Source organism: Homo sapiens, chromosome 1 (assembly GCF_000001405.40).
Source record: "Homo sapiens chromosome 1, GRCh38.p14 Primary Assembly".
Lineage (NCBI taxonomy): Eukaryota > Metazoa > Chordata > Mammalia > Primates > Hominidae > Homo > Homo sapiens.
In genome coordinates this window covers 144,322,184-144,341,454 of record NC_000001.11, presented here as the reverse complement: position 1 = coordinate 144,341,454, position 19,271 = coordinate 144,322,184, and the positions used below count along the sequence as shown (strand labels likewise).

The following is a 19,271-nucleotide window of genomic DNA, read 5'->3' as shown; positions in this document are numbered from 1 at the left end:
AAGGGACAAAGAGAAAAATGAAAGAGCAATAGAGATGTGACAGGCATGGAAAAAGACAATACATTTATAAAACAAATAGGGCCACAGATGATGATAATGGGGATCAAATCTTGAGATACTGACTCAGTTTATAACCGCACTGTACAATAGAGCAAATCATTTGTTAATTATTTTACAAATGGAATCTAATTTAACTAAGATGAATACAGTGTTTTAAACAAGGCAGGTCATCTTAAAATAAAATAGTGGGAAAAGTGATAAAACCAATGTAAAAATCATAAACATTTTATAAAGAATTTTTGTCATGTAATTTAATATTTTTCTTTATTTAAAATCACCCAAATCAAAATAATTTTATCTTAATTAACAAATAATCATCAGAAGTTAACTAATTTTTACTTTATAATACTAGGTTTAAAAATTCTTCACTATATTTTTAATCATACATGCTTATACATAAAATAGACATAGGGTATATGTTTACATGTTCACAATATTATATTGTAATTGTTCCTATGGATGTGGTTTTTCAATAGAATTAATAAGTACTTTTAAAAAGTTTCAATTTCAATGATATATATGTTTGATTTTTCTTTGACAAAGCATACATATATTGATAGGTAATAATAAGAAAATCTTCTAAAGACATTACAGGAACATGAATAAGTAATTAAATCCTCAATAATTTGTAACGTTTTATGTAAGCGGAACACATTTAACTGAAAATTGCTTTTATATAATACTCAAACGAGACTAAAAACATATTAACTAGCGGAGTAAGTCTTCAAATTGATAATCTGAACTATAGAAGAGGAGAAACTTCAAGCACTCAAATATTTGAAATGCTACAAAATATTTATATAAACTATTATTTAACAATTTCTGTTTGTAGAGTGCTATAGAGTAATCCATATAAATGACATCTCAGTCTTTCTATAGCTTTGACCACATTTACCTCCTAATTTTAATTATTAATATGTTGGAGCAGTGCATACAACTAGATTCCGATCTTCCTTTTTAATGAGTAAAAATATGTCCTTTGAGACAGCATTAAAGAAAGAGCACCTTGTATAAATTCAATGCCAAGAGACAAGATATTCTTGATGCTGAAGTCTTGTTCTTTTATACAGCAATGTAATTAATAAGAAGAAGAAAAGCAGGACATAGAGATGGAGTCTATTTTCATCAAAAATTGTCTATAGATTTTGATGATAAAATTTAAAACTCTACTATATTTAGTTAGTCACAAAAAACTAGGTTGTGGGAACATATTTGGTCAATAAAACACCCCTACCAAATGCCGACAAGAAAAAAAGTTAGGTACCACCTTTCTTCTCTGCAGATGGCCTGAGATGGGTTAATTTGAAAGAATGCTTCCAAACCTGAGGTGACCCCTGAGAACAGCATAATCCACTGCTGTCTCCCACATTCAGTTTCTCAGTCTGTGCTCTTTTAATTTTGGGGGGAGGGAAGCCAGTCCTTTAAAGCGATCTTCAGCATGATGGCAGAGCCAAGGAGTGTGGACAGGTGGCACGGTGTCTGATTTTGTTCCAGCAGCCACTTGGGCTTTCTCTGGGTCTTCTCTGCCCTCGGGATAGCACTACTATTGAAAACATGTCTTTGTGACATTCTCTATGCCAGGAACTCCCAACATATTTTCCTTGAAACTGATGAAATGAAAAAAAATAAACCAAGAGGTGTGCTGTTTGTTTCTGTTTCCTCCTTTCTGCAGCCCTTCTTGATCATCTAATATTTTTAAATACATTGTCGATCACCAAAAGGAGCATAAGGGCTTTATTGGTTTGTAGCAGATGTATTCATAGCCCAGCCCCTATTCCTTAGCTGTAGCTGCTGGGAAGAAAACCATTCTTAACACTCTACAAGGTCTCATCTCCAGAATTTGCACCAGTTTCTAGCTGAGGACTTTCTCTAGCAGCACGGGAGCTTGTTACTGGGCATGAAGTGGGAAGAAAAGGTGAGGGTAACTAAGAAGAATCTCCCTGGATTCAGTGATGTAATTCTGAGGCATGCTCCACATAGCTTCCCATAAAATTAAGCCCAGATATCTAACACAGGAACTTACCTCTTAACACGTGTGGTATTGGCTTTTCTGTCTTTCCTGTTTTATTTTGTTCTCTTTTCCTTGTCTCACTTTCGCTGTGTCCTCACTCCTGCTTTAAGAATACCCAAACAAATACGTTCATTTATTTTTTTAGACTCTCAGAACACAGTTGATAGTTGAACTTGTAATCTATGATAATCAGCTTGGTTGCTGTATTGACAGGAAGATGGTGAACTCACAATGTCTAATTAAGATACAATTTAAAAAATATATTGTATCATGTCCAAAGACTTAAAAAGCCTAAGCGGCAGCGTCACAGTTTCTTCTTTTTAGTTTGCATGGTTTCTTAAATGCCTACAATTATTTTAAAGGAAGCCTTGAGTCTAGGAAAAATTGAGACATATGGAATAAATTACTAACCCATTTCTCCTTGAAATCCATTAGATGTTTGATGATTCTTCACATATATTTCTGAACTGAAAAGCTAGTTGGGAATTATTTTTATAAGCATATCCTTATGTAATATATTGTTTCTAAGAGTGAATGGAAGGTTTAAAGATTAAATTATTCTATCCAGAGAATAAAAAACAATTATTTCACAAGGAGAACATGTGTATGTTGACACGACATTTTAAAATCTAGATTTTAAAATAGGTCCCATATAATTTTGAGTCAATTAGAATACGTTTGTATCAGTCTGTCTACAGTTTTACACCTGTCAAATGTTACTTGAACTAAAAGAAGTACCTTGAACAATTTTGAAATTTATTATTCCTCTGAAACTGATGAAAAGAATGACGGTAGAGTGAAATTTGGATTGGCATAATTTAGGAGAGAAATTATTCCTTGGAGATCAACCTCTGCCAAGATAGTTTACAATGACATTGATACTTTTTGATTTACACAATTTGTTATATAAAAAATACTAAGACGATGACAGATAATACACAGACTTTAATTAAAATTGTACTAAAATTAAAAGTCTAAATAAATTACAAGTGTACGTGGTACATCTAAACGTATGTTTATATATTTTATTTGTGCATTTTATTCCTAGGGTTCCTTTTGCTTTAGTTTGTAAAACGTTCTTATTTTTATGGCAGTGTAGTATATACTAAATAAAGAAAAATCAGGAAATAGAAAATGAAGAAGAAAACATTAGCTATTGTCAACCAAATAAAAATTGTGCAATCTCTAAGTACATGAACGATGTATTATTTGTACAGCATGTACAATGTTTATGCTTCACAGGGTGAGGTAGAGACTGCAAAACATTGAACCTGGGACAAATAAGAAAGAAAGGAAATTTTCACAATATATTAATATTACAGAAAATGTTGAACTTAACAGTTAAGATACAAGTAGTGAAAAATGATAGTATTTAAGGAGATCTAGAAAATGTCATCCATACCAGTAATGTGTGAGAAGTATTAGAATAATGCTTGTATTTCTGGATTGGCATCGATTTCTATTGAGACTGGAAACATACTAGAAGTGAGCAAAAAAGAATTTAAATAGTGGATACTTGAGTTTTATACCTAGGAGTTCGAGAAATACATTTTGTTACTATCAAAGCAGTTGGCACAAGAGTGTACAACATTCCCTAATTGTGTCTATGTGGTGAAGACATAGACAAACAGAAAATAGCAAAACAGAAATAGCAAAAAAGCACAAATAAATTTTACCTGTATTTTTACGTAAAAGCCAATTAGAGTAGGAAAACATGAAATTTGTGTTTTATCGAAATTTTTCTCTTATAGTATAGTTGATTATATTACTGGAAAAAAATTGAAGCATTGGTATGTTCACAAAAAAAAGTAAAAGATAAGGTCAAAACCATGGGAATGCAGGGAGCAGACAAAATACACCTAAACACTGATACTGATTTTGCCCTACGGACATGTAGCAAAATGAATGAGTGCAGATTCCTATGGTCATACATCACATAGGACAGTAAAGAAATACATAGTGTTTCCCAAGATAGGGCATCACACAGGAGCTCTTCCCTAAAGCTAGCACCAAAATTTATCTCCTCAGTATAAAGAAGAATCAGAGGTAAATTAGTCTCATTTCACATTCCCTGGAAATGGCAAATAAAAATGACTTGAGATTGGACAGATTTAAAGAAACTCAATCATTAATGATTTACAGCAATTAATTTAAAAATTGTTTAAATGTGCTGTCCAAACATACGTCCAAACACCTTTAGGCCAAGAATTAATATAATGTGGTCCCAGAATGGTGGTGCCTTTAGTAGACTCACAAAAAATTCAAATTCTCTTTGGCAAATTTTCTTCTTACTAATATGCAAAAGTGCACAATAATAATTTTCAGAGAAAAATAAATCTTTGTCATTCAAAGGCATCTAAGTACGCAAGGAAATGATATTCCACCATTTGAAAGGAAAGCAGAAAAAGAGTACAAACAGATCCACAGAGGTTCATTAGTAGAAATATCACTGTTAGATTATAAAGCACATTTGCTTTCAAAAAATTTAAAAAAAGGAATATATTTTTAGGAGACTAAAAAGTTGATGTAGTAAATTTGAAAAGTAGTTTGTATGTAGTATTTTAAATTAAAAACTCAAAAATGAACTCATCAGATTAGACATGGCCATGGTGAGAGCTCATAAATATTTCAGAATGCATTACAGAAAATTTAAAAAAAGGCACAATGTGGACAGAATCATGAAGAGACATGGAAGATACAGTGAGAAAGTGTAGCATGTGTTTAGTGAGTGTTCTCATAGAGGAAGGGAACGGGGAAGGGACAATATGTGATGGTATTTTGGCTGAAAGTTCTCTAGAGTTTTGTAAGACACTAATCCACATATTCAAAACTTCTATGCATGCTAAGCAAGCTACGATGGAGATAAACCTACATCTACATATCTCCTAGAGAAATAGTAAACAATCAGGAAGGGAAAAATATTTCAATTAGCACTAGAAAAATCAAATTACCTTTAATCATATTGAAATCTGAAAGCATGAAAGGTAAAATAAACAATATTATTTGTTAAGAATAATAATGCCATTCTGAAATCCTCAACCAAGAAAAATATTCATCAACCTATGGCTAAATCACATATTTAGAGACAAAAAACAAAACACCACCAGCAGAATTCCACTAAAGAAACTCAAAGGAAACTCTGAAAACACGCTTCAGAAAGATTGAAGTTCTGAAATCAAAGAATGAACACAGAGCAAAATATATTGTAAACATAAAGATAGATCAAAATAGAAAATTAGGTGTTGAAACAAAAGAATATTTAAAATTAGATAAGCACTGCAATATGTATGTTAGGAAGCAAATTATTAGGGCTGAAGTATTCAAAGACCCCTTAATTGTCTGACAAGAGCAGAAAGGTATGACTTTGCAACTCTTTTTTTTTTTTTTTTTTTTTGAGAAGGAGTCTCATTCACCCTTTCTCCCAGGCTGGAGTATGGTGGCGTCATCTCCGCTCACTGCAACCTCTGCCTCCCAGGTTCAAGCAATTCTCCTGCCTCAGCCTCCTGAGTAGCGGGGATTACAGCCGCGTGCCACCCTGCCTGGCTAATTTTTGTATTTTAGTAGAGACGGGGTTTCACCATGTTGATCAGGCTAGTCTCCAACTCCTGACCTCGTGATCCACACGCCTCGGCCTCCCGAAGTGTTGAGATTACAGGCGTGAGCCACTGCGCGCGACCGACTTTGGAACTTTAATAAATTGACTGGACATTATGCATTTCTCTGTTGTATCTATGAAAACAATAAAAATAAAAGTCATAATTTTAAAACAAGAAGACAGAAAGTGATAGGAGAAAATGAGACATTTTATATATATATATATATATATATATATATATACACAACAAATTACTAATACAAAATTAAGTATAAATGATCAAAGATTAACTTAAACCTAAGTAGACAATGTTTTTGTTAAAATACAAAGATTGGCAAAATTTAAAACATCCGTCTCTATCATAGTTACAAGAGACACAACTAATATATAAATTTACAGAAACTTTGAAGTTCAAACAATACAGATACTGTGTATATATGATATACATACAAACATACTACATGAATATAATTTTTTAAAAAGTTGCTATGTAGACCAAATAGAATGTAAGTTAGAAACATTTATTAAAATAAGTTAGTGTAACCAGTGTGATAAAAGTTTTAAGTTATTAAGAAGATGTGATGACTTAAATGTGTATTAGCCTGATACATACATATATATATACACACAAACCACACACTCTCTCACACACACATACACACACGTATTTAGAGAGAGAGTCAAATTATATAAAGCAAAAATATCAGAAAGTAAGTAGAAATGGATAAGCCCCCAAATATTATAGACATTTCAAACACACGTCTTTCAGTAATAGATAAAAGAAAAAATTAAAAGAGTAAGTTTTAAAAGAAGCTAGTGGATTTTAAAACGGGCAAATATTATATAAGGAACTTGAATATTATAATTCATGTTATTTTCATGTTCATACAGAATACTTACAAAAATTAACATTTTCTAGACCATACCACAAATTCAAACAATTTTCACGGAAATAACGTGACACAGAATATACGTCCTAAACAAACAGCAATGAAGGCAGATATCAATACAAAAACGAAAGTTAGAAACATAAGTGTAATAATATTGGTTGGAAGCCATTTTATTGAATATTGAAATATTTTAAAGGTGAATAGTCACTACAAATAAACCAAACACTTTTGTGAGGCCACTAAGATACATGTGTAATGTGTAATGCCTCCTTTTATAAGGAGTAAATCTGTAAAATCACCTGGGCTATTTGACAACTGCAAAGTGAATGTGAGAAGGAGAGAAACAGTGAGAGAGAGAGAGATAAAAGCAGTAAAATAAACATAAAGAATGAAGGAGATAGCCAGGCGCCATTGTTCACGCCTGTAATCCCAGCACTTTGGGAGGCCGAGGCAGGTGGGTCACCTGAGGTCAGGAGTTCGAGACCAGCCTGGTCTAACATGGTGAAACCCACTCTCTACTAAATATACAAAAATTAGCCTGGCATGGTGGCATGCATCTGTAACCCCAGCTACTCGGGAGGCTGAGGTGGGAGAATTGCTTGAACGTGGGGGGTGGAAGTTGCAGTGAGTAGAGATCACGCGACTGCACTCCAGCTTGGGCGACAGAGCAAGACTCCGTGTCAGAAAAAAAAACCCAAAAAACAAGAAAGAAAAAAACGAGGAAATAGTACACGAAAAAGCAGAATTAAAGCAACTGGGTATATATTTAAAAATGCAAAAGCTCACTTTTTCAGAAAAATATTAAAATATTAAATCTAACAAATATCTAGGTAGACTGATGGAGAAAAATACAGAAAATGCACAAAAAAGCAATTACCTGGAATGCGAACGTTACAAAACGTCAGCAGTTGTAGATTTTAAATAAACAATGATTTTTGAGTTCAACCATGATGGGGCATATTGAAAAGAATCTCTCAGAAAAAAAGAAAAAGAAAACTGTTATAAAGCTATGTACAAAATGTTAAGCACTATTAAAGTCTTCCAAATCTACCAGTTACGGAGTTATTGGTCTTGGACTAACACTCCTGAAAAGAAAAAAAACAAACAAAATAAGACAATACCTAAAAACCTGGATAAAATGGCCTACCGTGGGCACCGGCAATGCATCCAAGCAGGTAGGACCTGGGTGCTACATTCTCTTTGTCAGAACACAAAGCATTCATACACTCTTCTCACCCTCACTTTCACCTTTTAATCTTTGATCTACTATTAAATGTATTCAACATTACTATCAATCCTTTGCTCAAAATTTCTTTACTCACATTTTGCTTGATGCACTTGGATAGACTGTTCAAGAAAGTGTGAGTAGTGAATTCCTCAAACTCTTGCATATTCAAAATCACATTTTTGAACCTCGATGCTTGAAGTGTAGCTTGGGTAACAGATGGGCTTTAAGCCAATTTTGGCATGCAAGGGGTTGAGTTTATTAGGCATCAGCACCGCTGAAAATCGTGGGGATGCAGGCTTAATTTCAACACTATTCTAAATACTTGAAAGATATTATATAAGTCTTTAATAAACTCCTGTGTCTACAAATGGTTCACATTAACTCAATATCCATGATGAAACATCTATAAAATCAAGGCACTGTTATTTAGTGGAGACTTGCTGGCTATTCTATGAGAGGAGGTATTGTTATTGTAATCTCATCATCTCATAAAATTGTATCATATTACTCATAACCAGCCCTTCATATTCTATTCCTATTTTGGTATTTTAAAATAAGATATCTTTGAAATTCTTGAATTCAAAGAGGGAATCTGAATAATTTTTAAAATGTCAATGAAATGCCATTTCTTCATGCTTCAACAACTAAAAATTGACTAAAGTGCTTCTCTTCAATCTTTCTGGGACATTTTTTATCTAAATTCTAAGAACAATCACAATAGGTTTTAACCACAAATGTGAGAATATTCTAAATGTTAGGGTGGAAAAAATTTTTAAATATTTTATAGTAATTTTTTTCATCATAGTGACAGTGTGCTAAATTTTTTTAAGCCAACTATTACTGTAGACATTTAAGTCAGGATTCTAAGAAGCTGTTCTAAAGTCCAAAATTCAGTTTCATATACACTGATATTATATATATATTTGCTTAAAAAATTAATACATGTGAGCCGTGTTTCAAATAGTTGAGAGATTATTATATCAAAGATTCTTGATTATATAAAATGCCAATTACTTATAGGCAGACATGCTTTAAATAATTACTAAGGCAGTTGTGGTTGATTGTACTCTTGCTACTGGCATTTATATGGACATACTATTATGGTCTGAAGAATATTTAGGCAAATTTATCCCTCATATGATCAGAAGAACAATGCAAGATAGTTTATATCTGAAAGGAAAAAAATCTTTATATGGTTCTGAAAGCGTAAATCATTAACAACTTGGATAATAATTAGCATAAAAATACACAAACATGCCCTCTTCCTAGCAGTAAGTACACAGTGACAACAGAATCAAAGCATGTGGCTATGTGCATGTTTATATTTCAAGACGCAGAGCACTCTATTCCTCCTCTCTGCCCTTTCTAGATGGCACAATCCCTCATGAATCTAAGTGCAGTCATAGGGTGGATTAGGGTGACCTGCCATTTGTATGCAACTGATCTCTAGTTTGGAAGTAATTAATGTCAAAATATATTTTTAAAAGGTAATTTCAAATTTCAGGGCAAACTAGCATGGTTTCGCCCCTTTTCTTTGGAACATTTTTTCTAAGGTTGGAAAAGTAAGGTAGGCTTTAGTACGATTTTAAATAATAAGTTTTCAAAGTGAGACGCAAAATGGTGGCGCCAACACATTTCAAATCTGCTACATTTTGAAGACACTTATTGGAGAAAAGACCTTCTCATCATTTTTCTCTTACAGGAAAGGAAATAACACGTACAGTTGACCCTTAAGCAACACGGAGGTTGGGGTGCTGGACCCCCTGCACGGTAGAAAATCCACTATAACTTTGACTCCCCCAAAACTTAACTACTAATAGCCTACTGTAAGCCTGACAAATAACACAGTCAATTAACACATATTTAATGTTATATGTCTTATATACCGTATTCTTAACAAACATGCCAGAGAAAAGAAAAAAGAAAATCATAAGGAAAATAGATTTACTAGTTATTAAATGGAAGTAGATGATCAAACAGGTCTTCATCCTCATCTTTCTCATGGGCAGGATGTGGATAAGGATGTAGAATTGTTGGTTTTGCTAAGTGGACGTGCACAGTTCAAACCCCTGTGGTGCAAAGGCCAACTGTATAGCCATTGAATAGCAATTTATATTTAGAAATTAACCTCACTAAAATACTCTTAGAAAGATGCCCAGAAAAAAAGTGAATAAGAATTTTTGGTTCATCTATTACATCATTTCATTTCATTAGTTCATTTCTTTTCATCATTTCATTTCATTTCCTCATTTCATCCTTTCATTTCATCATTTCATCTCATTTCCTCATTTCATCCTTTCATTTCATCATTTCATCATTTCATCTCATTTCCTCATTTCATCCTTTCATTTCATCATTTCATCATTTCATCTCATTTCCTCATTTCATCATTTCATTTCATCCTTCCATTTCATCATTTCATCTTATCATTTCATCTCATTTTATCATTTCATTTCATTCTTTCATTTCATTTCATCATTTCATCTCAACATTTCATTTCATCATTTCACTTCATCTCATCATTTCATCTCATTTCATTTCATCTCACCATTTCATTTCATCTCACCATTTCATTTCATCTCATCATTTCATCTTTTCATCTCATCATTTCATCATTTCATTTCATCTTTTCATCTCATTTCATTTCATCAATTCATCATTTCATCTCATCATTTCATCTCATTTCATTTCACTTCATTTCATTGTTTCATTTCATCATTTCATTTCATCACTTCATCTCAACATTTCATTTCGTCATTTCACTGTATCTCATTTCATCTTTTCATCTCATGATTTCATTTCATCTCATTTCATTTCATCTCATTTCATTTCATCTCATCATTTCATTTCATCTTTTCATCTCATCATTTCATCATTTCATCTCATTTCAGTTCATCATTTCATTTCATTTATTTCATCATTGCATCATTTGACTTCATGTCATCATTTCATATCATTTCATCATTTCATGTTTTCATTCAATCATTTCATCATTTCACTTATTCATTTCATTTCATCTTTTCATTTCCTCATTTCATCATTTCATTTCATCCTTTCATCATTTCATCTCATCATTTCATCCTTTCATTTCATTATTTCATTTCATAATTTCTTCTCATTGTTGCATTTTGTCATTCCATCATTTCATCATTTCACTTCATCTCATCATTTCATCATCTCACGATTTCATCTCATTTCATCTCGTTTCATCTTTTCATCTCGTCATTTCATTTCATCATTTCATTTCATCTCATCTTTTCATCTCATTTCATTTGATCATTTCATCAATTCATCATTTCATCATTTCATTTCATTATTTCATCATTTAATCATTTAACTTCATTTCATCACTTCATTTCATTTCATCATTTCATATCATTTCTTCATTTCACCATTTGATCTTCTCATTTCATTTCATCATTTCATCATTTCACTTCATTTCATTTCATCATTTCATTTCCTCATTTCATTTCACCATTTCATTTCATCATTTCATTTCATCATTCCATTTCATCATTTCATTACATTTCATCATTTCATCATTTCACTTCATCTCATCATTTCATCATTTCATCTCATGATTTCATTTCATCTCATTTCAACATTTCACTTCTTTCATTTCATTTCATCATTTCATCTCAACATTTCATTTCATTTCATCATTTCATTTCATCTCATCATTTCATCATTTCACTTCATCTCATCATTTCATCATCTCATGATTTCATTTCATCTCATGATTTCATCTCATTTCATCTTTTCATCTCGTCATTACATTTCATCATTTCATTTCATCTTTTCATCTCGTCATTTCATTTGATCATTTCATCAATTCATCATTTCATCATTTCATTTCATTTCATTATTTCATCATTTAATCATTTAACTTCATTTCCTCATTTCATTTCATTTCATCATTTCATATCATTTCTTCACTTCACCGTTTGATCTTTTCATTTCATTTCATCATTCCATTTCATTTCCTCATTTCATTTAACAATTTCATTTCATCATTTCATCATTCCATTTCATCACATTTCATCATTTCATCATTTCACTTCATCTCATCATTTCATCATCTCACGATTTCATTTCATCTCATTTCATCTCATTTCATCTTTTCATCTCGTCATTTCATCATTTCATTTCATCTCATCTTTTCATCTCATTTCATTTGATCATTTCATCAATTCATCATTTCATCATTTCATTTCATTATTTCATCATTTAATCATTTAACTTCATTTCATCACTTCATTTCATCATTTCATATCATTTCTTCATTTCACCATTTGATCTTCTCATTTCATTTCATCATTTCATCATTTCATCATTTCACTTCATTTCATTTCATCATTTCATTTCATTTCCTCATTTCATTTCACCATTTCATTTCATCATTTCATTTCATCATTCCATTTCATCATTTCATTACATTTCATCATTTCATCATTTCACTTCATCTCATCATTTCATCATTTCATCTCATGATTTCATTTCATCTCAGTTCATCATTTTTCATTCTTTCATTTCATTTCATCATTTCATCTCAATATTTCATTTCATCTCATCATTTCATCATTTCACTTCATCTCATCATTTCATCATCTCATGATTTCATTTCATCTCATGATTTCATCTCATTTCATCTTTTCATCTCGTCATTACATTTCATCATTTCATTTCATCTTTTCATCTCATTTCATTTGATCATTTCATCAATTCATCATTTCATCATTTCATTTCATTTCATTATTTCATCATTTAATCATTTAACTTCATTTCCTCATTTCATTTCATTTCATCATTTCATATCATTTCTTCACTTCACCGTTTGATCTTTTCATTTCATTTCATCATTCCATTTCATTTCCTCATTTCATTTAACAATTTCATTTCATCATTTCATCATTCCATTTCATCACATTTCATCATTTCATCATTTCACTTCATCTCATCATTTCATCATCTCACGATTTCATTTCATCTCATTTCATCTCATTTCATCTTTTCATCTCGTCATTTCATCATTTCATTTCATCTCATCTTTTCATCTCATTTCATTTGATCATTTCATCAATTCATCATTTCATCATTTCATTTCATTATTTCATCATTTAATCATTTAACTTCATTTCATCACTTCATTTCATTTCATCATTTCATATCATTTCTTCATTTCACCATTTGATCTTCTCATTTCATTTCATCATTTCATCATTTCATCATTTCACTTCATTTCATTTCATCATTTCATTTCATTTCCTCATTTCATTTCACCATTTCATTTCATCATTTCATTTCATCATTCCATTTCATCATTTCATTACATTTCATCATTTCATCATTTCACTTCATCTCATCATTTCATCATTTCATCTCATGATTTCATTTCATCACAGTTCATCATTTCATTTCATTCTTTCATTTCATTTCATCATTTCATCTCAATATTTCATTTCATCTCATCATTTCATCATTTCACTTCATCTCATCATTTCATCATCTCATGATTTCATTTCATCTCATGATTTCATCTCATTTCATCTTTTCATCTCGTCATTACATTTCATCATTTCATTTCATCTTTTCATCTCGTCATTTCATTTGATCATTTCATCAATTCATCATTTCATCATTTCATTTCATTTCATTATTTCATCATTTAATCATTTAACTTCATTTCCTCATTTCATTTCATTTCATCATTTCATATCATTTCTTCACTTCACCGTTTGATCTTTTCATTTCATTTCATCATTCCATTTCATTTCCTCATTTCATTTCACAATTTCATTTCATCATTTCATTTCATCATTCCATTTCATCACATTTCATCATTTCATCATTTCACTTCATCTCATCATATCTTCTTTCATTGCATTATTTCATTTCATCTCATCATTTCATTTCATCATTTCACTTCATCTCATCATTTCATCACATCATTTCATTTCATCTCATCATTTCATTTCATCTTTTCGTCTCATTTCATTTAATCATTTCGTTTCTTTTCACCTTTTCATCTCATCATTTCATTTCATCAATTCATCATTTAATTTCATTTTTTCGTCATTTCATCATTCACTTCATTTCATTTCATTTCATCATTTCATACATTTCCTCAATTCATCATTTCATCTTTTCATTTCATTTCATCATTTCATCATTTCATTTCATTTCACTTCATTATTTCATTTCATTTCATTTCACCATTTTATGTCATCATTTCATTTTTCATCATTCCATTTCATCATTTCATTTCATTTCATCATCATTTCATCTCATTATTTCATTTCTCCATTTCATCATTTCGTTTCATTTCATCATTTCATCATTTCATTTCATCATTTCATCATATCATTTCATTTCAGTGATACATGTATTTAATTGCTAATGCGATGCCCAGGAGACACCCTATTTCCCTTTCTAAAACACCTCCTTCAACAAAAGGCAACTTCTCATGGCTGGCTAAGTCTACAGGGATAGCAGCCTCTCCTCAACCACCCAATTTCATTTAAAACCTCAAACAGCACCTCAGTTTCATAAAAACCTAAAACATAAACACAACACTTGGTTGTAAGTGAGCCGACAGTTTCTTGTCTCTTTCTCTGCTCAAGGCTTAAGGCTGTGTCTCCCCAACTACATTCAGTGGAAGAGAAGATCCCATGGACAAATAAGTTTGAGAATTGTTGTTGCAGGAATTCTCAGAACTTTCAAAACAGAAATCTTCATCCGCAGGGATCTTCAGGAGGGAGATGGCTGATGCAGCACAACTTTCTTTCAGAGGAGTATCTTGCAGAATACAGTATGAGATACAGAAAGGCTGCATTGAGTCTTTTTAATGGCCCGGGCCTTGGTGAGGGTGGGGTAGGAGCTCTCCAGATAGCATCTAATGAGTAGGAACATTCAGGTGGCTTTTTATTTTTTCCTTATTCGCAAAACTGTGTGTACACCATGAATGAAGCTGGTCTCCCTTATCCACGTCAAAACTAAACCTAAATTAATTGGCTAAATTGGGACTCAACACCTCCAGGAGCCACGCGGCAGAAAGCCCCAACACACTTTAAATTAGCTTGCCTCATCATATTTGAGGAAAGCAAAACGCTTATGACCAGTATGCTGCTAATACAAGTCTACAGATAATGCTGTATGAAAAACTAGTTTTCCCAATCATAGCTGGCATAGTCCACATTTTGCATTACACTTTCCCCCCCTTTTTTTAAATTTTAAACACAGGTCTTTTTCTCTTCTTTTTTTCAATTTTAATTAAATTATACAAGACGGAGTCTCAGTATGTTGCCCAGGCTGGTCTTCAACTCCTGAGCTCAAGCGATACAACCGTCTCCGCCTCCCAAAGTGCTGAGATTGCAGGCCTGAGACACTGTGCCTGGCCTTAAACACAAATCTTAATTCATTCTTACAATTATTCTGAGGTTACAAAAATGGAAGGGGAAGAAAAATGGCAAGTAGGTAGGCTGACTTCGGCTTCATTATTTGGAAGGACAGTTTGCTCGGTTAAAACACACTACTGCCTACAAAGGCCAAGACAACAGAAAAATACAGACTTACATAAATAGATTTTATATGTGACAGCAGTTTGAATGGAGACTTTTTCAATGCAATGAGAAACAGCTGTGCTTGGGAATAAATGACAACGAATTTTTTTATCTCAACAGCTGTCCTGAGAGCATGTCTCTACATCTCTACCTGCATTCTGGAATCAGGGAGAAAGCCAAAACGGACGACAAGACACTAGATCAGCCGTGTCCAACCCTTTGCCTACAAGGACTTTTCCACCTATCTGTGGTGGTGGGTAGCATGAAAATTATGCACAAAACTTTTTTTTTTTTAACCCCATCAGCTGTTGTTAGCATTAGTGTATTTTATGTGCGGCCCAGGAGCATTCTTCTTCCAATGTGGCCCTGAGAAGCCAAAAGACTGGACACCTGTGCACCAGATCAAAAGGCTACTCCTTCTGGAAGCAATTGTAAAGAATTTCTGACATTATCTTGACATGAAAACCAATGGGTAGTGGGACAGAATGCAAAATCTTGAAGAATTTTTCTTGTCTTTTTTTTTTTTTTTTTTTTTTGAGTCACGGTCTTGCTCTGTGGCCCAGGCTGGAGTACACTGGTGAGATCAGAGCTCAGTGCAGGATCAAGTGCTCCTCCCGCCTCAGCCACAGTAGTAGCTGGGACTACAGATGCGCACAACCACCCCTGGCTAATATTTTATTTTTTGTAGAGATGGGGTCTCACTATATTGTCCAGGTTGGTCTCAAACTCCTTGACTCAAGGGATCCAGGAAAGGATAACAGGTGGGAGCCACCACACCTGGCTATGTGCATGAACTTTTAAGACAAACACAAGGCCCCACAAAAGTTAAGGTTTTTCCCACCTAATTTCCAGGGGGATCTTTTGGTGCAAGGCTGAGAAGCCCTTAAAAGTACACAGACAACTCCAAAGATTCAAGACAGTTCATTTGGGCTGAGCCAGCCCACTGGGCAGACTGACCTTCCAAAAAGACCCACCCATGACATACACCAGATGGCTCTCCAAGAATCTCTTCAGTCCTCAGGGTCCCTAACGTACTGGACAGAGCTAGGAAAGCAAACCCATTTGCTTCTTCCTGCAGGAAACCCCTTGAGGTTAAGACCCCACAATCACATGAGGATGGAGTGGCTCACCCTCAGTCAACAGGCCAGACTCAAGGTGGTATAATGTCTTAACCACGGGTGCGGGCCTCCAGGTCTGACTCCCAACTCAGTTCTTCTTTAATAACCACACTTTGTTAATTTTCCTTAACAGGGGTTCCTGGCAAGTCATTTCTCCCTCAGGCCTTCGGTTTCCTCACCTACAAGATGAGAGGGCTGGACCAGATGGAAATTCAGGGGGTAAGGGGATGTCCTCACGCAGCCCACCCCCACCCCCACGGGACCCTGGAGCCTCCATCCCAGTTCCCACCACGCACCCGCTCCACAAATCCTGCCCAAGGTGAGGGCTGGTCCTGGGTCCTCTGGCTGCCGCATCAGCGAGTGCAGGAGGGAGGGGAAGCCTCCAAGGGGGTGACGTGGGCTCAAAGATGCAACTCGGCCAGGAGTGAACTGGGGCCCCGAAGGAGGTGTCCGGGCCGCTCCTGGAGCCCAGCCCGGGTCCCCGAACCCCTTACCTCCGGGGTCTGTATCTCCTGCTGGGTGAGGTCGTTGGACACAGCGCACTTGGTGCACAGCCCGCACAGGCTGCCAATGAAGATGACGATGAGCTTCTGGAGCTGCCCGCACTGCTGCAGCGCCCGGCTGGCCGCAGCCCCTGTGCCACCCTCCGTGGCCGCCGCATCACCCCCACCACCGCCCTCCTTCTTCTCTCCCATCGCCTCCACAGGCAGCGCCACTCTATGCAGGCCACAGGGGCCTAGGCAAGGAGCCTGGGGCGCCGGCGCCTAGGCAAGGAATCCCTGAGCCAGGAGAGCTGGACCAGGAGCACCCCTCAGCGCTGCCCTTGCCAGGACGCCAGTAGAGCTGGCAGCCGAGTCTGCCGCTCCCGCCCTCAGAGCCGTGGCGGCGGGGACAAAAATCCTCGGCGGCGGGGGCAAAACGCCGCGGCGGCGAAAAAGTCGCTGTGGCAGGGGGACAAAAAGCCGTGACAGCGGGGCGCAAAAAGCCGCGGCGGGTAAAAGGCCGTGGCGAGTAAAAAGCCGCGATGGCAAAAAGCCGCGGCGGGCAAAAAGCCACGGCGGCGGTGGGGCAAAAAGCAGCGGCGGTGGCGGAGGGGCAAAAAGCCGCGGCAGCGAGGGGGCAGAAAGCCGCGGCGGCAAAAAGCCAAGGCGGCGAGTGTGCAAAAAGCTGTGTCGGCGGTGGGGCAAAAAGCCGCGGCGGCAGAGGGGCAAAAAGCCGCGGCGGCGGGTGTGTGGCAGAAAGCCGCGGCGGGCAAAAAGCCGCGGCGGCGCGGGGTATAAAGCCGCGGTGGGCAAGAAGCCGAGGCGGGGTGGGGGCAAAAAGCCGCGGCGGCGGGGGGCAAAAAGCTGCGGCGGGTAAAAGGCCGCGGGGGCAGGGGGGAAAAGCCACGGCGGCGAAAAAGCCGCGGCGGCGGGGTGCGAAAAGCGGCGGGGGGCAAAAAGCCGCGGCGGGCAAAAAGCCGAGGCAGGGTGGGGGCAAAAAGCCGCGGCGGGCAAAAAGCTGCGGCGGCGGGGGGTAAAAAGCCGTGGCGGGCAACAAGCCGAGGCGGGGTGGGGACAAAAAGCCGCGGCGGCGGGGGCTAAAAAGCCGCGGCGGGCAAAAAGCCGAGGCGGGGTGGGGGCAAAAAGTCGCGGCGGCAGGGGACAAAAAGCCGCGGCGGTGGGGGCTAAAAAGCCGCGGCGGGCAAAAAGCCGAGGCGGGGTGGGGGCAAAAAGCCGCGGCGGGTGAAAAGTCGCGGGGGCAGGGGGGAAAAATCCACGGCGGGAAAAAGCCGCGGCGGCGAGGGGGCAAAAAGCGGCGGGGTGCAAAAGGCGGCGGGGGGCAAAAAGCCGCAGCGGCGGGGGGCAGGCAAAAAGCCGCGGCGACAAAATTCGCAACGGCGAGGGGTCAAAAAGCCGGGGCGGACTAAAAGCCCTGGCGCCGGGGGGGCACAAAGCCGCGGCGGGCAAAAAGCCGCGGCGGCGGTGGGGCAAAAAGCCACCGCGGCGGGGGCGCAAAAAGCCGCAGCGACGGGTGGGGGCAGAAAGCCGCGGCGGGCAGAAAGCCGAGGCAAGGTGGGGGCAAAAAGCCGCGGCGGCAGAGGGGCAGAAAGCCGCTGCGGGCAAAAAGTCGCGGCGGCGGGGACAAAAAGGCGCGGCGGGCAAAAAGCCGCGGCGGGGGGCGGGGAAGCCACGGCGGGCAAAAAGCCTAGGCGGGATGGGGGGAATAAGCCGCGGCGGCGGGGGGGCAAAAAGCCGCGGCGGCGGCGGAGGGTGAAATAATGGAGATGGAGTGGAAGGCCGGCACAGCTTGGCATCGCTGGAGTGCGATGTGATAGGAAATGTGCAGCCAAAGACAAAAAGATGTAAGTAGGCTTGACTCATTGAAGCTAAGAACCCAGATGTTATCTTGAGGGTATTAACTAATAAGCAGTTTAAATCAGAATGGCACATTCTGATTTGTTTCTTGTACGTTCACATTTGGCAGGCATAGATACTGTTTGAAGAGAGAAAAGTCAGTAGAGAGAGGTAACAAACTTAAATATGTGCCAAGTCTAGAAACAAGAGACCAGGGGGATAGGGACCTTTCAAAATAAAATGCAAGATTTGAAAACTGATTGGCTGGGGGATGAGGAAAAGGCAGGTCTTTAAGGTCCATCCCTGTTTTGCTTTAAGTTGTTAGGGGGTGGTTTTATCACATGTTGTAGAATATGTCATTTCAGTTTTGAACATCTTGAGTTAAATTGTCCTAGCATATCTTATGAATTTGATTTTCTTCCCTGGAAAGCTAATATTTCAAACACTTAAAGAGTATATAGATTTCCAACTTGT

At 37.1% G+C, this 19,271-nt stretch overlaps 1 long non-coding RNA gene across 1 annotated transcript, besides 1 other annotated feature; it reads right to left on the bottom strand.

Annotated features, from left to right (window-relative positions):
* Positions 1 to 3,070: 3,070 nt before the first annotated feature.
* Positions 3,071 to 18,824, bottom strand: CH17-125A10.2 (extensin). The gene is made up of 3 exons (XR_007067018.1): positions 16,956 to 18,824; positions 5,682 to 5,800; positions 3,071 to 3,550 (listed from the first exon to the last, which is right to left on the bottom strand). It is a non-coding gene; the product is annotated as an extensin (long non-coding RNA).
* Positions 16,795 to 17,089: a silencer, noted in NCBI's record as "tiled region #1883 duplicate 2; K562 Repressive non-DNase unmatched - State 22:ReprW". NCBI's record gives its function as "represses a minimal TATA promoter and a strong SV40 promoter by Sharpr-MPRA in K562 cells {active_cell/tissue: K562}" and the evidence as "EXISTENCE:reporter gene assay evidence [ECO:0000049][PMID:27701403]".
* Positions 18,825 to 19,271: the final 447 nt, after the last annotated feature.